Source organism: Homo sapiens, chromosome 9, assembly GCF_000001405.40.
Source record: "Homo sapiens chromosome 9, GRCh38.p14 Primary Assembly".
Lineage (NCBI taxonomy): Eukaryota > Metazoa > Chordata > Mammalia > Primates > Hominidae > Homo > Homo sapiens.
In genome coordinates, this window is record NC_000009.12 from 27196848 (window position 1) to 27220299 (window position 23452).

The following is a 23452-nucleotide window of genomic DNA, read 5'->3' on the forward strand; positions in this document are numbered from 1 at the left end:
CTCCTGTTTATTTTATTTTTTATTTTTTATTATACTTTAAGTTTTAGGGTACATGTGCACAACGTGCAGGTTAGTTACATATGTATACACGTGCCATGTTGGTGTGCTGCACCCATTAACTCGTCATTTAACTTTAGGTATATCTCCTAATGCTATCCCTCCCCCCTCCCCCGGCAATTGAACAATGAGAACATATGGAAACAGGAAGGGGAACATCACACACTGGGGCCTGTTATATACTTTCAAATGACCAGATTTCATCAGAACTCACTCGGTATCAGGAGGACAGCACCAAGGGGGATGGTACTAAACCATTCATGGGAAGTCACACTCATCAACCAATCACCTCCCACCAGGCCCCACCTCCAACACTGGGGATTACATTTCAGTATGAGATTTGGGTGGGGACACTAATCCAAACTATATCAGCCATATATAAAAATAATGATTTTTCTGGATTCTCCTAGGACTCCCTCCTCCAAGAGGTCTAAATCTCCTGCCTAAAAGTCAGACCACTCTAAATTTGACCTGGCAACCAATATTTCCAAGCTCGGAAGATGACTTTTATGTTGAAGTGGAGAGAAGGTCTGTGCAAAAAAGTGATCAGCAGAATATTAAAGTTCCAGGCAACTTGACTTCGGTGCTACTTAACAACTTACATCCCAGGGAGCAGTACGTGGTCCGAGCTAGAGTCAACACCAAGGCCCAGGGGGAATGGAGTGAAGATCTCACTGCTTGGACCCTTAGTGACAGTAAGTAATTCATGCTGCTCCAGCCTCATCTGAGCAATAAGGGGCTACCGCCATGCAGACTTAGCTAACATCACTGCAGGACTATTGGAAATTATGAAAGAAAGTTAGTTGTGAGAGAAGGCTAATTAGTGCCCCCCACCTAATCATTTTAATAACTTGCAATATATAACATATATTTGGATTTGCAATAATTCAGGCAGGTCTGTGCTAAAATTTACCTTCCCTTGGTGTGCAGTTGTTTATTTAGTAAATTAGTAACAAGAAGTTTTTCTAGGGCTTGTTGAACCATTTATGGGGTAGTTTTGAAGAATTATCATATATCTACATGTACACAGATGTCAGTTAATTCCAGATGGGTCTTACCTAACCATAAAAACCAAATAACTTTGCTTGAAACCCCTTGAAAACAGGTAATTTTAAAAGTTAAAAGATTTATCTAGGAGTAATAAAATCACTTTTTTTTTCCAAAGTATTTTGCATTTCAGGCTTCTCAATTTCAGATTGGTCATTTAAAATTAATGGGAATTTCTTGGGTTTCTTTGTAGTATTGAAAGTCTATTCATTACTAAACTAAGCAGAGAGTTTTATTTTGATTCACTGAAATTAGAACTGTGTGCATTTGGAACCCTTGGAAAGGTAAACTATTTCTTGGCCACACACAACTACCACTGAAGTCAGGATCATGTGGTCTATGGCCTTACCACCCTGAACACACTGGATCTCATTGATCCTGGAAGCTAAGCAGGGTCAGGCCTGGATGGGAGATTATGTGGTCCCTTGCCACCTCCCAGAGTCTGAGGCTGTCTTTGCAGCTGGTTCTCCACTTCCTCAGGAACAGGTGTGGAAGCTGGCTCAGTGTTTCTTTGGCCACTCTTTTATTGCATCAGTGACTTATGAAAGTCTGAATTGTTTTGTCAGTGTTTAGGAATTCTTCATATATAATGTTTAATTCTGTGAAATTTCCAAGGTGCAGAATCATGCTAACAGTAACACAACGAACAATCACATTCCTCCCATCCAGAATTAACAACTGTTAACATTTTGTCATATTTGCTTTCAGCATTTGTTGTTGACTTATGTAATAACCCACTACAGGTGTATCAGTATCTCCTGCAACTGTTATCCCTATCTATTTCTATTCCCCTCTCCCAAGAGACAACCAAAATTATGAGTTTGTTAAGTATATTTTAATTTAATGTTGTATGTATATATTTTTTGAGACAAGGTCTTGCTCTGTTGCCCAGGCTGGTGAGCAGTGGTGCCATTATGGCTTCTGCAGCCTTGGCTTCCTGGGCCCAAGCAATCCTCCCACCTCAGCCTCCTGAGTAGCTGGGACCACAGGCACACGCCACCACACCTGACTTTTTTTAAAAATTTTTTTGTAGAGATGGGATCTCCCTATGTTGCCCAGGCTGGTCTGGAACTCCTGGGCTCAAGCAATCCTCCCGCCTTCGCCTCCCAAAGTGCTGGAATTACAGGCATGAGCCACTGTGCCAAGCCCAATGTTCTATAATTTTAATATCTCTGAAAGTATACACATGCATACATATCATTCTTCATTTTTTGAATGGACATTATGAATTTTATCGATCCATGTTTATTTAGCTTTGATGCATGTAATTTTAACTTCTGTATAATATTCTATCTTATGAATGTATCTTGTCATTCATCCTCTCCCTTTTAGAGGGAGATGTAGGTTTTTTCATTTTTTACTATCATGAACAAAATGCAATGCCCATTCTTATGCATGTCTCCATGTGCATAGACAGGTGTGAGAGTTTTTCTAGGAACAAGTCCGGTGGTGGAACTCATGGGCTATTTCCCTCTAAAGTGGTTAGTCAGTGTGTACTATGTTCAGGAGTGTATGACAGTGCCATTTTCCTTATACCCATCTCTATGTCTATATCCTTTCCCTATATCACTCGATAGTGTCACACCTTTTTACTTTGCGTATCTCAAAAGCAAAATATGGTGCCTCATTGTTAATTTCAATTTTGATTTCCTTGATAGCTAGCAAAGGTGAGCATCTTTTTATGTTAATTGTCCTCTTTTTTGATATACTTATTGATATACTGGATGTCCTCTTTTTTGATATACTTATTGATATCCTTTGCTCATTTGGAATAGGTTGTCTTTCTTACTGATTTGTAAAAATTATTTGTGTAATCTAAATACTTTGTTATGTGTATTGCAAATATGTTCTCCTAATCCCTTTATTGTAACCTTGTTTGTGGTGGCTTTTAACCCACAGACACTTGACATTTTGATGCAGCTGGACCTGTCAGTATTTGCCTGTGTGATTTATACTTTTTGCATTTTGGAATTATTCCCTATCCCAAGGTCATAAACATATTCTCTGTGTTTTTCCTAGTAGTTCTAGTGTTGTTTTGTGTATTTAGGTCTTTAAGATATAAAAATGTTATTTTGGGGTGCAGTATATTTTAATATTTTTATTTTAATCTTATTTATTCACATATGGCATGTCAGTGGTCCCAATGCCACGTATTGAGTAGTCCCCATGGTGAGTTGTGATGATTTCTGTATCATATGCCAGGTTCTCATATTCATTTTGCATCTATTTCTGGATGTTCTGTTCCCTTCCATTGATCTGTTTGTTCCTGTACCATTTCCAGCATATTAACTATAAACTTGTGAAATGTCAGTAACTATGGGATGAATCACTATTTCCTATTTCAAAATTATCTGAGGTGCTCACTCACCTAAACTACATAAGTTTCATCCTCATTAGAATGATACACTCTCAAAATCACACTATCATTATCATATTTATAGGATTAAACAAAAACTAGTTAATAGTCACTGGGAGTCGACTTGCCTTGGATGATTGTATGAAGTTTGATGGAGGGTCAATGCTGGTGGTGGTAGTAGGGATGTGAGATTGGCAGGGTAGGAGTTGATCCCTATAGGGTCAGGAAATCCGAGGAAGGAGGATGTGAATGAGAACATCTCATTTTTACCTGAAAATATTTGTTAATATGCTGTGTTGTCATTGATCATGTATGTTCATAAGTAAAATTAATACTTCCAGTTATAAAGTTTGTGTTGGTTTCCAGCCTAGCAATTACATCTGGTCCAGGGGTAAGAAGTGGAGTGAATTAGATTTGGCGTATCACCCCAATCATATGTTAAAAATAATATATGTGTGTTATGTTTTCCTGTTGGAAAACATTTACATGGGGAGTATTTGACCCTTACAATGACTTTTTGAGGAAAGTAGAGTAAGAATGATTATCACAGTTAACAGATGAGGAACCTGAGGCACAGAGGAGGGTAAGTGACTTGCCCAAAATTATGGAACTAGTACGGCATGGGGATTAGGATTCTAATCCACATTTTAGTTCTATTTTTCCCCCCACCATGCTACAAATGTCTTGCACTTGTCTCTTTGGATGGGCGACCCACTGCTTCAAAGCAACTATGCTTCTAGAGGTTCTTTAAGTAGTGATATCCCGTTTCTAAATTGTTTAAGGTCTGATTAGTGTTTCCTAAAGCATTTTAGAATCTATTGTAGAGTCACCCAGAGAACCTGCTAAAATGTAGATTGCTGGGTCCAGACCCGCTGAATTTAAATCAAAGGTTTATTGAGCTATCCCTAAGAATGACTCCTTTCAGGCATAAAATGGTAAGTTGGTAGATGCAAATTTATGATTTTTAGTTGGCACAAAAATTATATTCATTATTTTTCTAACAAGCTTCTAAAAGACACTGCTGCTTTTTGTGACAGGCTTAGAAGACCACTGGTTTATGAAGTTGAATTTTTTGAGCCACAACTATACAAATATTAACTATGTGATCATAGTAATCTGAAAATGTTGGTATTTCTATTACTCCTTCAATCTCATGTGGGAAGAAAGGCTATTGTATATTTTTATAAAAATATACAAAAGACTTGGTACTGGATGTAAAGAAAGTTAAGACATACTGTTGATTAATTGTGATTTTTGGATACTGTACCATCTGCTAGACATAGAACATAACAATCAGATTTGGAAGGTTCTAAATCCAATACCTAATTCTCATAAATTGCCACAGTCCCCTAAAGAGTAACAAGGGGGAGTCAACATAATGAAAAGAAGAAATTTAAAATAGAAAGGATGTACCTTGAGATACTTCTCAAAGGTTCTAAATTGTTTATAAGCAGTAACTTTCATGTGGAAAAACAATGGTGTATGGAATGAAACAGCCTATGTCTACTATTCGCCTACTGGGACAAGTACAAACCCCTTAAACTTTTGAAGTCTCAGTTTTCTCATCTCTAAAATGTGGATCATAAAAAATCTCAGTACTGTGTGGTTATACAAGTCAAGAGAGTGTCTGCATGTGGAAGCACATTGTAAATAGCCTCATAAATGTAAGGTACAGTTACTATTAAGGACAAGAGCTCGAATCCATTCTTTTCCTGGATCAAATAGGCTTAGCCTTTATTGGATCACGAACTTCCCTTCTAGCCTGTGCCCTTTAGAGTTTGAGTGAGAATGTAGTGATGCTGCGGTGCCTGTCATCTTCACATGTGGAAAACCTCAAGGCATCTCTTTCTCATCCTGCCCGTGTCCCTGAATGGAATGTGATTCCACTTTTCCCCAAATCCCTATAATACTTTGTCTACTAAAAGTTATTAGCACATTTTCTCATGTATACACTGACCTGCCTGCTGCTCCATAAATTGAGGGCAAGGACTGACCACATGACACTAAGACTATGGACTACAGAGCCAGACTGCCAGGAGTTGAATCTTGTTTCTTCTACTTAACAGTAGTGTCACCATGGCTAAGTCACTTAATCTCTCCAGACCTCAGCACTTACAGAAAGATTGCTATGAAGAGGAAGTGAGTTAATATATACAAGAGACTAGATCAATGCCTGCCATATTGTAAGCACTATATAAATGCCAGCCCTCAGAAGCTTTCCATTCTTCCCAGCATCAAGAATAGTAAGTACAGGTTTGTGGAATAACAGAATTTCTAAGGCCTTCATTTAGTGTCAAGATGACAGATAGATGATATGTGTTGCCATTTCTCTGTCTGTGCCACTCTTTCAAGTCTGCGTGGAGTCCAGTAGCCACTACCAATTGATTGGGGTACCATATGAGAAAACATTTGTTTGCCTTATATGAGCTGACATGAACTCTATCTCAAAAGCATAATGATCTAGGCCATGGTAGTATATCTTAAGTGAATCTTTTTTCTTTTTAATTTCTAGTTCTTCCTCCTCAACCAGAAAACATCAAGATTTCCAACATTACACACTCCTCAGCTGTGATTTCTTGGACAATATTGGATGGCTATTCTATTTCTTCTATTACTATCCGTTACAAGGTTCAAGGCAAGAATGAAGACCAGCACGTTGATGTGAAGATAAAGAATGCCACCATCACTCAGTATCAGCTCAAGGGCCTAGAGCCTGAAACAGCATACCAGGTGGACATTTTTGCAGAGAACAACATAGGGTCAAGCAACCCAGCCTTTTCTCATGAACTGGTGACCCTCCCAGAATCTCAAGGTTGGTTGAATGGACAAGTATTTACATAGGATTACCGTGCAGCCCTATAGGCAGCTGGTTTATCAGGACAGGCCTGTGAGATGAAAGCCTATGAAAAGTCGGTGGTTGAATGGACAGGCATTTACAGAGAGGTCCTTAATATCAAAATGCCTCTGAGAAGGATCCCTGTTGGTCCGTTTTCTATTATTGAACCTTAGAATAGATCAGTCTATCAGCATACCCCATCCAGCAATCTAAGAAGAAAGCTCTGAGGAATATGAATTTTAATTCCTAGGAGAAAGAAGAATGTGGGAGCTGCTTATAGAAGGCAAGCTATGCAAGAGCTCCAGTAGGAGGCTCCAAGAACCATGCTCCATTCTTCCTCAAACACTCCTTTTTTTAGCTTGGATGACATTGTGCAATTCTGAGTCTTCTTCTACTTTACTGATGCAGGTTATTCCATGTCCACCACTAACCCCAACCCCAGGAAAAGTATGTGATTTGAGCTAGATAGAGATCCTCTCTGGATGCCATACTGTGCCCACCATTTGTGATTGATAAAGTCTGTTGAGTGTAATTAAGTGAACAAGGGTCCCATGTGGGTGGAGCTGCAGCAGGAGGATTGACTTCAAGTCTGTGCAGAGGCACCTCCCGGCTCTCTGTGTTGTGTACAATGTGTGCCAGAGAATGTAGATGGAGGCACGTTAGAGGCAAGTTTTGAAAATTTATGATTTGGATTACAGTCTGTTTTTAAAGAAAATACTATAACTAAATCTGAAAACTTCTTGGTTCTCTTGGAGGATTACCTAGACCTTAAGAAACAAAATCAAACAAGTCGCTTTAACAGTGCTGATTCTTTGGAACATTTTTGAAATGCTCAAGGAATGAAGAGTCTGCCAAATATAGAAAATCATGGTTTTCAGGTCACACTCTTAGTGAATGCCCCATTTTTGTAATTACTTGTGTTTTGGCGAAATGTAACTTCCTAAATTCAAGCTATACATAAAATACCAAGAGAAAACTTTTAAAACAAGACAAAACCAAAAGTTTCTCACCATTCTAGACATCTCTGTATCTGTACATATATAGAGATAGAAGAAAAGATAAATGAGAAGAGAGGGATACTTTTAAGAGGACGAGATCATGTTCTATGTGCTATTGCTAATAAAAATATATCGAGTTTAATTTTATTTAAATAAGGAAAAGAAATAGATTTGACCATAGTCTTTAATAGTTTATTTTGACCTGAGCCCTAAATTTAATTTTTCCTCTGTCTTTTCCTGTCTTCCTCCCTCCCTCTCTCTCTTCTTCTATTGGGTATCATTAGGTTTTCTTCATTAACTCATTAAAACAAGACAAACAAAACAAAATACCTGATAGACTGTAAGCTCTTAGCATCATTGAACTTTAAAGCATTTCTAGGTGGGGAAATTGAGGTTTAGGGAGGTTTAGTCACTCTCTCAAAGTTATACCTGTAGTAATTCTCCCTATTATTCAACATTGTTCATTTGCTTGGGATTCTACTTGGAAATAAAAGTTGAACAAATGACAACTAATGATTAGCATATTGCTAATTGTAACAGCACTTTTGCATGTTTTTTTTTTTTTTAATCTTATTACAACCCTGTGAGTCAGACTCATCTCCACTGAGTTTGGAATATAAATGAGTAGCCCGAGGTCATATAGTGGTTAGGTGGCAGGGTTAAGGCTGCTGTTAAGTTCCCATTACACTGTGTCTTCTCCCACATACGGTGTGGGTCTGTTTCTCTATGTAAACTAAACTACCTGCTTCACCTCTGTCTTCCTGCACAGCACCAGCGGACCTCGGAGGGGGGAAGATGCTGCTTATAGCCATCCTTGGCTCTGCTGGAATGACCTGCCTGACTGTGCTGTTGGCCTTTCTGATCATATTGCAATTGAAGAGGGCAAATGTGCAAAGGAGAATGGCCCAAGCCTTCCAAAACGTGGTAGTGTCTCATCTTCCTACTAGCTAATAAGGGCAAGTCCAAGTACAGGCAGAACCTTCACTTTAAAGATATGGACCAGGAAATTTACTTATAAAGTAAATATTTCCCTTAGGCAAGCCTCATCTTCTCTTTGGCTTTCATTATGAAATGGGAGATAAAAAGTATGACTTTTTAATTTCTTATCCAAACCAGAACAATTTTGAGAGTGAAAAGGGTGCTCTTAGTAAATTATGCAGGAAACTAGGTCTGCCCCTGCCTGCTGAAATGAGACATATGGTCATCCTAGTAGTAAGTCCCCAGAGATGATATCTTGCAACAGAATAAATTGAACATTTTTGGTAAGGAAGGACAGAGGGTAACCAGACCTCAGTGAGATAGGTAATGACGTAATATATTAGACAAGTTTTCCTCACATTTGCCTATTTCCAGTTCCCATTTCTTTCTAGTAAGTCCCTCAATCTTATCACCCCTCGTATGTGTAAGAATTGTATATACCTGTGTGTGTCTTCCATTCCTGTGTACCCTCAGTCTGAAGTCAGAGTTCCTGGCACTTGGTACTGCCTCATTTTTTTTTTCATCTAGGAATTCTAACCAGTAGCAAAGGCCTATAAAAATCACACTTTACCAAGAGGCATCTTATTTGAGTTCTTTTGGTATACTAAAGCCTGAAAATGTATCTAGTTTGTGGGTTCAGGCCCTGTAAAATTAATTTGAACCAGACTTTATCAATTCTGTATATAATGCATTGAGTGCAATGATTCAAATGAGGTGTACCCCATGTGCATGAGTCCCCGAGTTTCCCTTCCACGGAGGACAAGAGGAACTTCACTATCTGACTCCATGCCAGAGCTGGCTCAATTCAGGCTGTCGCTGGAGAAGAAGGGCCAGCAAGGGGGTTGGGAGTGCTGAGCCTGTCAAAATACCGGTGCTTTTTCATGGTAGCACCAGCAGCTATTTGAATTCAGGAGAAAGAGATACTGTGTTGGGTTTGGCTCTAAGCTTCAATCATCTTGTGGCCAGAGTGGACTTAGAGATTCTAAGCCTTACTACGAGAGAGAAAGAGTGTGCACTAAAAATAGAGTAGGATCAAGATAATGCTAAGAAAGCTCTCACTGAGGCGCATCCTGTGGCTGCCCCACATAGGCTCTCCAAGTTAGTTTCCAAACCAGAACTGAACGCTTGCTCATTTCACAACACTGTAGGGAACTCACGTACAACTAACGCAAGGATGGCAAACACATGGAATATGTACTGTTACTCCTTCCTCCGTCACCCTTTACAGACATTGCTAATCAACAGGCTTTTCTGGGGAGGCCCAGAATTGTGCCCGTGCAGCCCTGTGGGCAGCTGGTTTATCAGGGCAGTCCTGTGTGATGAAAACCTATTTCCCTTTCCAGTCTAGAATTAAATACAGTATTTCTTTTTTCATCTGGTGTGGATGCCAACCAGAAGACATTATGCCCCTTAGAATTATGAAAAATCCTGACACAAAATGATGAAATAATTATTTTTCCAGAGGGAAGAACCAGCTGTGCAGTTCAACTCAGGGACTCTGGCCCTAAACAGGAAGGTCAAAAACAACCCAGATCCTACAATTTATCCAGTGCTTGACTGGAATGACATCAAATTTCAAGATGTGATTGGGGAGGGCAATTTTGGCCAAGTTCTTAAGGCGCGCATCAAGAAGGATGGGTTACGGATGGATGCTGCCATCAAAAGAATGAAAGGTCAGTGGTTGACCAGATAGAGTCAGCATTGCGTGAGGGTGTGGAGAAAACTTGATTTCCTGCTCATTCTTTCCTCTATGGTCTTACAAAAAATTGGCATGGTATCAGACATAGCTGTTATTTGCAACTGAAGGTTATGCTTCCTTTGAAGTTGAGCCTGTGATAGTCAGGATATCAATACAAAGGCAGGAGCCATTTAAACATCACTGTCTTGATTCATTGGGATGAGATACTATAGATTCTTGGTCATATATGGCTAACTTTTGCGGAGCATCATTGTTTCTCTTAAAGCAGTGCTTCTCCAAATTGAGTGTGCATCAGAATCACCTGGAAGGCTTGTTTAAAAACAGGCTGTTGGGCCCTACCCCACAATTTCTGACTCAGTCTAGGGCAGGGCCAGAGAATCTGCATTTTTCATTAGTTTTCCAGTGATGCTATCTTGTGGGTTTGGGGACCACATTTTGCAAACCACAGTCTTCATAGGTTAACTGTATATAAGTTCCTGGGGACACTGTTAGAAATGCATTCACTTGGGTTTCTTCTACTCCTTGACTACATCTGAGTTTCTTGGGTAGCATATGAAAATCTGTGTTCTTAAGTGGCTTTCTCAATGGTTCCTCTGTACACTCAGGTTTGCAGAGAAAACCACTGACTTAAGGTCATAAGAACTAAATCTTTTCCAGCTTTGTTCATCTCAAGACTGTTTGGTACCTACCCATCTAATAATATTTGATAATATCTTCAGAGAAAGCAGCATGACTAGTTCACTGGCAAATTAGCTAGCTGTCTTCTCTTCTGCATGAAAGAGCAGTTTGTATAAGACTTGACTGTGAGGCTGCACTATTGATTTTACAAAATACAGGCTTGGAATGTGGTGCATTAAAGCAGAGAATATGATGAACTATTATCATTGTGCAGCTCCATCTTAAGAGCTCTCTAAGGATGCTGGCAGATTTTTCTTTTTTTTTGGACCACACTATTGAATCTATGAATTACCTCTAAATCTTATTAAATCATCTCTGCTTTCTGCATTGTTAGGAAGACTAACAAAACAAAATATTATCTATGATTAGAAACAGCAATATGTTTCTTTAAAAACAATACAAACTACTTGCAAAACAGCCACAAATCCCTTTTCTGTTTTGCTACTTTAGTCACAGGGAGTTTTGGGGAGCAGTGAGGATAGTGAGAGGAGAGGGGTGTAGAATCTTATGAAGGCAGTTTTTATTGGGATCTATTGTGAGCCTGATTTTCTACCTTGTGCCCATGTGAAGAGGGAAAATAGCTTAATAAGGCACCAGGGCAGATAAATCCTGCAGGCAAAGCAGTGCATCCAAAGAAGGGCAGTTACTGAAGTGGACAACCTCACTATAAAGAACTTTAAAAAAATATTCCCAAGATATTGACCCTCCATGAGGCTTCTGTAGTATGAACAGAGCACTTGACTTATGAGTACCATTATTCCCTCATGAGATGATTGTCACAGTTTCTAAGCATGAGCAGCCATGTTTATGGCCACCAGCACCTCACTCCTTTCCTTGCCACCCAATGTGTGTTTTTTTTTTTAAAGCAGCCATAGCTCATTGTCCCTGACTCAAGACTGATCAGTTTATGCACCAACCAATAGCCTTCTCTTCATTCTGGTGCCTGCTGTGTTCTCCCTCTGGTTAAAGTGCTAGTGGAGAGACAAGGCAAAAAGAATAGAAGCAGATGCAACTCAGTTTCCTGATTCCCATGCAACTTCCATAAGATACCATTTGGATTTGATTTGTTTAGCTCAATCAACCAGATTGAGACTGGTTTGTAAAAAATAAGTTACAGTTAGTGAACAAAGAGGCATGCATTATTGGTGATGTTTCATGGAAACTTTGGTTCTATTCCTCAGTTGTCTCTGGATGGTAGATTTAGCTGGAAGAGCTAAAATCTAAAAGATGATACAGCTCCACCTCTACCAAGTCATTTACCTGAGGATCTGGGAGCTTCAACAAGAAAACTTTAGAGTAGTGGTTCTCATCCAGGGGTGATTTTGCCCATGGGGGCATTTGGCAATATCTGGATACATTTTTGATTGGCTATTGGCATCTAGTTAGTAGAGGCCAGGATGGCTGCAAAACATCTTACCATGCACAGGACAGGCCCCTGCAAAGGAATTATCAGCCCAGTGTCAATAGTGCCAAGGCCGAGAAACTCTACTTTAGAGTAATCTCTTTGGTTGTATACAGTTGATGGTGACTGAGGGTAGCTGAAGGTTCTTAGGGGGCAGGACGGGACAGCTGATTCTGAAAAGGTGTAACAAAGAAGAATCACAACCCTTGACTTTCTTCCCAGAATATGCCTCCAAAGATGATCACAGGGACTTTGCAGGAGAACTGGAAGTTCTTTGTAAACTTGGACACCATCCAAACATCATCAATCTCTTAGGAGCATGTGAACATCGAGGTAAGATGCTCTTTTCCTGTCTTTCCTGCCAGAGTTTTTATAAAACAGACAAATTCCATATGGATATAAGGAAAGATAATGATCTTAAGAATGTTGCCTATTTTTTTTAAAGTTGCATCTTCTATCTGAATGTCTGTCTAGTCCCATTTATAGACTGTGCTGTGGTTTGCCTTGTTTTTGGAGGGAGGTGCCGAGGCTGGACTATTTAGCCTCTGATGTGGTTCAGCCATTACTGCCCAAAGGTATTCATGGCTCCTACCTGCCCCATCCTTGGCCATGCAGAGGTTTTCTCCACTACCACTACTATTATAGTAGGGGAGCCCCCACCATCAGCTTCTTAATTGCCTACCTTTACATTTTTCCTGGAAACCCAGGGAATTGGTATTCTGAATGTTAAAAGCCATGAATGCCAGCAATCTAGTGTAATATGAAAACTAAGGATGGTTGGATTTTAAAAATAATTATAAGAAGCTTTCATGCGATAGTGCTTTGTTTTTATCCAGAATGCTTTCATGTACAATTACAATGGAGCTTTACAACTATCCTGTGTTGCACATGCATTTAAAGTTAAATTTATGTTATTAATTCAAATGTTTATTGAGTACTTTCTACTGTAATGCATGTAATTACTGGTGAGTGAGTAGGTAACAACAAAAATCCTCTATGGGTTTACCTCTGCATGCAGCATGGCCTTGTAGTTCTGAATCTCTGCTTAAACTTCACTTCTCGTGGAAAAGTTTGCTCCCACAAAAAGCTCCATGCAGTAATTATTTACAAACTTGACAGCCTCTTGTTGACTTTGCAGCACAAACACCAACAATAGAAAAGAGACTACTTCCATTTCCTCAATTTATTAAACTAAAAATACTGGTGCTTCAAACAATTTATCATTCTATGATCCAATAAGGGTGTAATTCTGAAAGCCAGATCATGTCCCTTAGGTTAAATAATGAAGTAATGACATTTATTTTTTGAGCTACTTCCTGAAAACAGTAATGAGCATGGCACAGGAGTGTAAATGAAAGTTACACACACACACACATACCACACACACACACACACCCTGCTGTCCTTGCTGATAGCACTCCCACAAACATGGTGAGTGTTCTTAAAACCCGCCTGACTTTCTGTACAAACCCTACAAATGACACAGTACAAAAGGGCAAGGATTCTCTGGATGCCCAGGGAAAGTGGTGTTATGACAGGAAGCCAAGTGGCCGTGGTGGACAGACTAAACCAGTTTTCTGGAAAAAGGCTAAAACTACAAAGAAGACTGTGCTGAGGCTTTAGTGTTGACCCCACTGCAGATCTAAGAGAATGCTGGCTCTTAAGGGATCCAGGCACTTTGCACTAGGAGGAGATAAGAAGAGAAATGGCCAGTTGATCCAGTTCTAAGTTTCAGCTTTTGTTTTATTCTGAGGACAATAAAATCTTGAGGTTACGTTTACTTCATCTGGTTGCAGTTGGTCTTTAGGGAGAGAATAAACCATGATATTAATGCAGCTTCCTTCTTGGGAAAAAAAACCACAACAACAAAAATATATCCCTTAAAATTTTGCTTCGTCATCACATTAGCACATAGCTGGCTCTTAAAATTTTAAGATAGGCCGGGCGTGGTGGCTCACGCCTATAATCCCAGCACTTTGGGAGGCCGAGGCAGGCAGATCACAAGGTCAAGATGTCGAGACCATCCTGGCCAACCAACATGGTGAAACCCTGTCTCTACTAAAAATACAAAAAATTAACTGGGCCTAGTGGCGCATGCCTGTAGTCCCAGCTACTCGGGATGCTGAGGCAGGAGAATCGCTTGAACCTGGGAGGCGGAGGTTGCAGTGAGCCGAGATCGCACCACTGCACTTCAGCCCAGGCGACAGAGAGAGACTCAGTTTAAAAAAAAATATATATATATATGAATATATATGTATGAATATATGTATGTGTATATATATATATGAATATATGTATATATATGAATATATGTGTATATATATGAATATATGTGCATATATATGTATTTAAGGTAAATTACCTTTATCTTTATTAATAAATACATATTTAAATTATTTTAAAATAATTCAGTAAAGATGTGAGAAAGCACATGTATACCATAATTTAGGTCTAACTTTCATTATAGTGCAACAGGTTTCAATATTACTTTTCTTTTTTGCTAGAATTTCAATTTCTTAGAAGATCTTTCAAGCTTTTTTTTTTTTTTTTTTTTTTGAGATAGATAGATAGATAGATAGGGTCTCACTCTGTTGCCCAGTCTGGAGTGCAGTAGCACGATGTCAGCCCACTGCAACCTCCCCATCCCTGGGCTCAAGCAGTCTTCCCACTTCAGCCTAAGTACTCCCAAGTAGCTGGGACTACAGGGATGCACCACCATGCTTGGCTAATTTTTATTTTATTTTTATTTTTTGTAGAGATTAGGTCTCAGTATACTGCCCAAGCTGGTCTCAAACTCCTGGGCTCAAGCAATCCATCTGCCTTGGCCTCCCAGAGTGCCGGGATTACAAGTGTGAGCCACTGCACTGGGCTTCAAGTTCTAATTCATACATCATTTTAAAAACATGGTTTGCCCAAAAAATTCTTCTTTAAAAAAAACCAGTAAAATAACTTTAACTTTACATTTTTAGTAGGTATAAATGTCGATGTTTTTAGCAAGTAAATTCCCTTTAAAAAAATTTTCGCAAGGGGATAATTTATTTTTTAAAAATTCCAAGAAAACAAAAGTAACAAAACTGGGCAAATAACGTTTTATTAAAAAAAAAAAGAGAGAGAGAAATGATGTGGAACAAAAAAGTGACAATGAACCATAAGTTTTTCTAGGAACTATTGTTTTATTTTTTCCTAAAAGCTTGAGTTTTCTGGTATCTTGAAGCAAAATGCAATCTTTGAAACTAACCTCTGGTGGCCAGAGACCCAATCAGCAATATGGTGACTTAGGATGGGTTTTGAGGAGGAGTAGAAGGCAGGAGAGACAATTACCTGTTGTGGCTCCTTCCACATGGATATTTAATTGTTGAAAAATAATAACAACCTCAGGAATAGCTAGAGGCAGACTAGAATAACATGCCTGGCTCATGTTACTAAGCTCCTTGATCAAAATGGAATGCAAATGAAAAGGTGACGTGAAGAACGTGTCTGAGATCTGGAAGAGCATGCTTTGACTCACTCTACTGTTATTACTGAGTGGGTAAAAGCATTTCAGGAAGCCCTCTGTGTGAGTGCAGGTTTGGTAGGAATGGAGAGGGGGTGGGAAGGAGCAAAACCAAGCGTTGCAGCCTGGCCCCTTTTGAGTATTGCAGGAGGGTGTCACCCGTCTTCCTCCTGTCCCCCAGTGCTCCCTGGGTGGTGTTGCTAGATGTGTTTTTTAGACAAAATGGAGTTTATAGGCAATTTCCACAGCACATCTCTTAAATGTCATAGCTGTTCAGGGCCACTGATGAGTCGATGCTCTCTTCCTTCCCTCCAGGCTACTTGTACCTGGCCATTGAGTACGCGCCCCATGGAAACCTTCTGGACTTCCTTCGCAAGAGCCGTGTGCTGGAGACGGACCCAGCATTTGCCATTGCCAATAGCACCGCGTCCACACTGTCCTCCCAGCAGCTCCTTCACTTCGCTGCCGACGTGGCCCGGGGCATGGACTACTTGAGCCAAAAACAGGTTTGTCCGGAGGACTTCGCTTTGGATATCTTTCCTGTGGAGTTCCCTCTAAAGTCAGTTTCAATATGTTTGTAGGGTCTGTCAACCTCTCTTCTTTAACTCCTTCTTAAAATCTCCCTCATTTTAATCTCTCTGTGAATAGTCCATCTATTTAAAGAAAAATTAGTACTGACAATATGTTTATCTAGCAATTTTCATAATTATGAAAATTGTATAATTTTCTTCTATCTAATTTCATATATGCAAATTTTATAATTTTCCTAATACGTAGCGAGGTACCTTAAGCTCTCTTAGCCTGGTTTGCCTCTAAATAATGTGTAATAACAGAGACACACTACATTACAGCTGGAGGATTTAACAACCTGTGTTTTTTATTTGTTCGTTTTCTGAAATTCTTCTGCCAAGATGTGGTGTGTCATTTGGCAGAATCCATTACCAGGGAATTTTGGAGGGGAACTTTAAGGGAACTGGATTGTGACTGTTTAAAATCCTTTTTTATACTATTGTTTTCTTTCCTGTTCCCCAAAGTTTTCAGCCCTGGGGCTTTCATTAGGCTGAAAATACATAATGTTTTCAAAAATTTCAGTTTATCCACAGGGATCTGGCTGCCAGAAACATTTTAGTTGGTGAAAACTATGTGGCAAAAATAGCAGATTTTGGATTGTCCCGAGGTCAAGAGGTGTATGTGAAAAAGACAATGGTAAGTGCCAGACACAGACACTGATCGCATCCTTTCCGAGGTACTCCCCTGTCTCCTGATGTTGCTTCTGAGACTGTCAGTGCTCTGTGGTGACTGAAGCATCTGACTGTATGTCCCAGTAGATACTGTGTGCCCTGGGAAACATTCTTTCTAAATGTTGGTTCCTAACATGATTGCAGCATCTGCATTAATTAATAATGAAGAAGGCACTGTCATGTGTGACCAAGTGATTGAATGTTCAAACCTAGTGGTTTGGGGTCTTGGTTCTATCCAGTCCAGACCCCAAGGCATCTCACTCAGGAACCTCTGAGGAGCTTGCACAATCCCCTTTCATGCACAGCTGACACAGCAAGGAAAAAAATTAACATATTTTCCAAAAGTCAAGAAGACAAACTAAATGGTTTCTAAATCACCAGGAGGCTCTACAGAGAAATTCATAACTTCTACAGGCTCATCTAAGATTTCTCTCTTCACTGAAACCTCAATGGTCACTATTCAAACCCAAATAAAATCCACTCTCCCAAACAGTAATATTTTATCTTTAAGTACAAGATTGCAGGAGAACCTAACCATACAGTCTTAGAGGAAGAGAGATACTCATTCTGCTTTTGGTGCCCAGTCTAGAATCACATAGTCCTAGAAGTACCGCATCCCTGCATGTTACAGCTGTGTGGATGAAATGTCACCATCCTCTCTTTTCCTTGGGTGGGCAGAATGCAGGGGCCTTAGGGATGACAAGCCCTGCAGCCTTTCCATGTGTCTGGCAGATCTACTCTGGTGGATGGCTCTCCCTTTTTTAGGTCTGATGAACATTACTTGGTCCCAGCTTTCCTGGGATGGCTCCAGTTGTCATAAGATATAGACAATCTTTTTGCTTTTGTGGGCACACCAAATTGTCTCTTAGCAAGGCTCAGGTTCCGGCATTTATTCTCAATTCCAGGCTTCTTTTTTTCCCATCATACTTATTTTAGTTACTGAGAAGATAAAGTAAAACAATACTCAAGAACATTTTGAAAGGAAATCACCCATAATTCACCACCTTGGCATATATATTTTTTTCATTTTGGCTTATTGCCTTTCACAGCATACATCCTTTTACATAGCTACAACCACAGTGAACGTAATCATTTTGGATCTTTCCACTCTCCTTTCTGATGAGGGTGTGAAGCTGGGTCCCTTTGGCTCTTCGAGGGCCCTGCATGCTTATCAACATCAACACTTTCAGAAGCCATGTGTGCCTCCCTGAGGGCTGGCTTCCAGGTGATGCTTTTCTCCCTAACCTTTTCAGGCATACTCAAAGCAGATGCTTCTCTGGAGCAGGGGTGGGCTTGTTTTCTTAAAGAAGCAGAATCCATCACTCACCTACCTACTCCAGCTTTCCCAACTCCTCCCTCACCACCTGGTGTCCTCAAATCTCCTTCCTGAAATCCTTTTCCCTGCTTTACTCCAGCACTTGGGGGATGTGGGTACCCTGGGTGAGAAGGTGGAGGGATAACACAGGATAACTCCACAATCTACCCATTCTATTTGGATGCTCTCCTCAGCCTCCCAAGACTAGCACTGGTTTGCTTGGCATTTCATAAAGGGCAGTGATTTCTGCAATATTGGGGTTATTTACAGGGGGAGAGCACCTATCAGGTCTCAACTCTATCTTACAATAGACTAAACAGGGTAAAGGTGTTCTTTAGCACCTTGGGGCTGGGGAGGAAAGGGCCAGGTTTGAGGGAAGGGGGAAGAAAGAAGGATTGGAGAGGAGCAAGTTCCCTGCAAGAAAGGTGCAGTGTGGCAAGACACTCCTAGAGAACACAGTGGCTACCTTCTCTGGCAGCCAATTTTAAAATCAGATTTTCAATTCTCATTGTACTTCAAAGCATCTGCATTTTTTAAAGATCCCCAGATGATTGAGTCCTATCCTGTGGATATTCTGATTCAATTGGTCTAGGGTGAGAACCCTGCATTAGGGTTTTTTTTTTTTTTTTTAAGTTACCCAGGGTGATTTTAATACTGGAAGTATTACTGCAAACTACTATACTAAGCAATTTGGGGTTTCACTATCATAGATTAATATATCCATCCCGTCATCATGGATTTGTTAGTACAATGTTTCATGCTTGTGCTAGATTTTGGGGTAACATAAGTCAGACACAGTCTCCACCTTCAAAGAGCTCGTAGACATATGACTCAGGATTGTAACAGCTGATAAATGCAAAGAGCAAGGAAAGCATAGATGCTACGGGAACACAAAGAAGGTGCACTGAACCAAGCTGAAAGGAAGTTAAGGAGGGCTTCCTGGAGGAGGTCAAATCCTGAGTTTCATAGTAAATGTTAGATAGGCAGTGAGGATGTGAGAATAAGTTGGATGAGCTGGAGGACACAGTACATACAGAACCCCTAGAGGAAAAGGAAAGCATGAAACCTTTAGGAGATGTTTAAGTAATTCACTATGGCTGGGGGTGTATTGCAGAGAGGAAGGGAGAGTTAAACTTCAGGGTTGGAAGAGGAAGCAAGGATAAAGTCCTGAAGGGCCTTGAATTCCAGCTAAGGATTTGGGATCTTGGAACCATAGGGACATTAAAGAATTTTAAGGAATAGAACTACATGGTCAAATTTGCCATTTAGCATGATCATCCTGACTACAGGGTAGAGAACAGACAATTAGGGAGGGAGATCAGTTAGGCAGAGAGACCAGGAGAGATTGTTGTCATCAGGTGTGGTATGATGGTGGACTGAACTGAGGTGATACAGTAGACAGAAGTGACGAGATCCAAAAGAAGTCAAATAAAAAAATAAATGAAAAAGTGCACAAGGAACTTAACAATTAGGAGGTGTGAGGTTGGAAGCCAGCAGGCTGGGAGTGAATGAGGGCAAAAAGAAAACAGATAACACTGTAGAGAGAGTTAGAATAACAGCTGGGAGATGGGGTGGTGTGGACAGAGAGTGAAGGGAGGAGGTGTGGATGTGGAGGAGAACAATAAATAGGTAGATGTGAGAAAAAATACTTCCATACTTGAACCTAAAAGTACAAAATTACCATTTAGAATTTATGTTTAGAAATGTATGCATCAGAATATTGCCACTCCACAAAGAACTGGGAGACAATTGCACATTCAGGAATCGTCCTTGGGATCTAGGGCAGGGCTGGTCTCATAAATGCATGACCTAGGAGAACACCTGCTCTGGAGAGCTGAGAAAGGTCCCTCAAGTGCTCCTGGTTTTGTTCCACCCACTGGCTAATCTAGGTGGAGATGCCACTGTGAAAGTCTGGACAAATCTCCGGGAGGGAGGGATCAACCTCTCAATGACCAACCCTATGATTCTTGAATGAGTAGATAGGAAGGGAGCCCCAAATCATAGAGACTTTGAGGAAACTAGGAATAAAACTTTAAAGTCAAGCTTTACAATGTCCAGGCACATCTGATTTTGCCTAGCCTGGGATCAGTAAAACAAGATATGGGGAGAGCCTGGAGGCAGTCAGGACCAGGCATCGAAAGGATCAGTATGTCTCCAAACCCAACATAAACTACACTAGCTACAAATCAGCTCAATCTCTACTGTTACACATGCACACTGTTCCCCTTGTCCAGAGATGCTCTTTCCTCTCCCATCTACCTAATGACACCTAAACATCTTATAGAACCATGCTGGGATATCCCGTCCTCTGGAGAATCTCCCTCCATCATCTCCAGGCGTAGTTGTTCTCTTCACCCTACCCCAGTTTCCCTTTTCCACCCTGCTTCCCTTTTCCATATTATTAATACAGTTAAATTCTCACTCAGTGTCTATGCCTGTCTCCCCTTTCAAGCCTCGGAGTGCCTCTGAGGGCTATAAGGTGAATAAGGAATGACCGACTACCATGCGTGCACACTCACACTTCCATTCATATAACGCTGCTGGACCCCGAAAGATAAATAGGACTTATACTGTTTGTTTGCATGTTTTGAAATTTGAAAACACATGTAGCTGGGACATACACAAAGCAATGATTTCTGAGTCTACCCAGCAATCATTTGTGGAGCCACAGCTCAGGCAGGCTGAGAGCCTCTTAAAGACCCTGTCCCAGTTAAGTGAAATCTCACTTTGTTCTCTCCAGGGAAGGCTCCCAGTGCGCTGGATGGCCATCGAGTCACTGAATTACAGTGTGTACACAACCAACAGTGATGTGTGAGTAAACTTCTTATTGCCAAGGGATTTTTTTTCCCTCCCAGAAACATATACATTTGACAGAGGTTTTAAAAAGATACAGGAATGTCCTGTAGCTCTCGGGAACAAAGGTAACTAAAAAGCTCAGGAAATAAATTAGCAGAATAAAGCCACAGAGTAGACAGTTTCCAGAGGAGTGCAGAATCACTTGTGGCAGGTTTTGGGTTTCCCTCTGCATACTGAAGTTGTGTATTCCTCATGTGCTTCAAGTTGCGAATTCTCGGACTCAACAGGAAGAAGGGACATACCGGCCTTCCTGTGGCTCCTCTCCCAGACCTAGATCAGAGGAAGCAACCCAGAATAGCTGCTGGGGACAAAATAAGGCCAGACAGTGGCGGGGGTCGTCTCTGCTTGCAGCCTGCAGTGATGCATCAGAGGCTGGCGGTGAAAGGAAGGATTGGCTTGAGATTTAGGTCATCTTGCCTTGTACCCCATTTCCAGGAGGAAAAACCAAGGCCCCGAGGGTGGTGACTTGTCCAAGGGGTTTTGCTGATGTCTGGGCATGAGGAGGGGGTGGGCAATTGCTGTGTCCTCACTGTATGCAAGGTGCTTTTTATGTTTCTCTGCATAATTTTGAGGCAGGGATTATTGTCCCCACTTTTGGAAGAATACACTAAGAGGTCCCAAGAGGTTCAGCAACTGTTTCCAGGTCACATAAGTATTGGGTGGCAGAGATTGGATTTAACTCAGATCTGTCAAGCTCCACAACAAATTTCATCTGTTTTGGACAGTACCACCTTGTAGTCTCTAGTTAAAGTGATTTGGGGGCTCTGGCAAAGTGAACACTGTTTCTTTGTTGTAACCCTTCCATTGAGCTAAGAGGAGAGAAACCTACACTGTGTGCAAGGGCCTATCCTAGGATGTAGACATTTAACATCTCCTTTTCTCAGAAAGGGTGGGTCTCCCTGGCTTTTGGGGCCGGAAAATGAGCGGTGACTCTGTTTGCTGATTGTTGGTTTCACACTTGTCCCTCCTGCAGATGGTCCTATGGTGTGTTACTATGGGAGATTGTTAGCTTAGGTGAGTATCTATGTTTATCTACCAGGTGAGACTCTAGGCAAAGTGAGTGGAAGCCTCTAGCACTCCCTTGCTGCATAATTCCACAGGATGCCGTTTGTATGTGGTTCTACCAGATGTGACTTGGAAATAGAAACATAGTGTATTAATTCCCATATTTTTCTTTTTAAAAGCCTTATACCTAACGTCATATTTAACACTAATGACCTGGAGGCCATGAACTTTATTATATATTAATTGGCTCCGCTTGTACAAGTTGCCAGGTTAACTTCTAAAACTCTTAGATTATGCAGCTATTAAAAGTCACATTTTTGAAAGCCATTTAATAGCATGTGAAAATATGTAATAATTTCATGTATACCCTGATCCTAGTTTTATCAATATTGCATATTTTAAAAAACTGGAAGGCACTACACAGAAAGGTAATAACATTTATTCTTCATGCTTTTTAATGTGGTACATATACACCGTGGAATACTATGCAGCCACAAAAAAGAGAGGAATGAGTTCGTGTCCTTTGCAGGACCATGGATGAAGCTAGAAACCATCATCCTCAGTAAACTAACACAGGAATAGAAAACCAAACACCACATGTTGTCACTCATAAGTGGGGGTTGAACAATGGGAACACATGGACACAGGGAGGATAACATCACACACTAGGGCCTGTCAGAGGGTAGGGAACAAGGGGAGGGAGAGCATTAGGACAAATACCTAATGTATGTGGGGCTTAAAACCTAGATGATGGGTCGATAGGTGCAGCAAACCACCCACCATGGCACATGTATCTCAGAACTTAAAATTTAAAAAACTGTTCTACAATAAACCAACATGCATGGCTTTTGTAATTAAAAAACTGGCCATAACTATCATTGATAAAATATGAGTTATAAAACTATGGACTTCCAATCAGAAAAAAAGGTTAATCTTATTGGTATAATAAAGGTTAATCTTATTGGTATAATAGATGTGCTTTGTGTGGGGAGACTTAGAACAGGCACTAAGGAAGCCTGTGGTGGTTCCTTCCCCTGAAGCAATGATCATGCTTTGGCATAGTCTATAGTGTAAGCCCAGCTTTGATGTGCAGTGAGTTTGCCAAGGGAGGCATGCAGGATGCTCACCCTCTCTTGCCATACCATGTCTTCCTCCTGGCCCCTTATATTTAGAAACCCTGGACAGGAAGCATTGCTTTTCATGCCAGAGAGGACTTAGAGTGGCACTGTTTGTCTTCCAGGAGGCACACCCTACTGCGGGATGACTTGTGCAGAACTCTACGAGAAGCTGCCCCAGGGCTACAGACTGGAGAAGCCCCTGAACTGTGATGATGAGGTGTAAGTCAGGCCTCATCCTGGGGCTATTTTGTCTTACCTTCCCCCTGTGTGTTTCTGGGGCCAGCTGACTCTAGCAAAGTCAGCCGGTATACACTATACACAAACACCTACACACAGAGATCCCAAATAGGAACCCCTCCCCTTTTATTCACCT

General features: G+C 40.7%; 1 protein-coding gene and 2 pseudogenes across 5 annotated transcripts in view; all 3 read left to right on the forward strand.

The window, feature by feature from the left end:
• TEK (TEK receptor tyrosine kinase) overlaps positions 1–23452 on the forward strand; it is a 120950-nt gene that overhangs the window by 87623 nt on the left and 9875 nt on the right. For 3 of the 5 annotated variants that reach the window (NM_001290078.2, NM_001375475.1, NM_001375476.1), the window contains 10 exons: positions 468–752; positions 5973–6272; positions 8064–8215; positions 9735–9945; positions 12274–12384; positions 15860–16050; positions 16637–16750; positions 20841–20911; positions 21930–21970; positions 23202–23298. In NM_001290078.2, the coding sequence (NP_001277007.2) occupies positions 468–752; positions 5973–6272; positions 8064–8215; positions 9735–9945; positions 12274–12384; positions 15860–16050; positions 16637–16750; positions 20841–20911; positions 21930–21970; positions 23202–23298 (1573 nt within the window). Of the gene's footprint in view, positions 1–467; positions 753–5972; positions 6273–8063; positions 8219–9734; positions 9946–12273; positions 12385–15859; positions 16051–16636; positions 16751–20840; positions 20912–21929; positions 21971–23201; positions 23299–23452 lie in introns of all 5 variants that reach the window. The other 2 variants (NM_000459.5, NM_001290077.2) reach the window with 1 other exon arrangement.
• On the forward strand, positions 1440–1554 carry RNA5SP280 (RNA, 5S ribosomal pseudogene 280; annotated as a pseudogene).
• Positions 13480–13779, forward strand: RPL36AP34 (ribosomal protein L36a pseudogene 34; annotated as a pseudogene).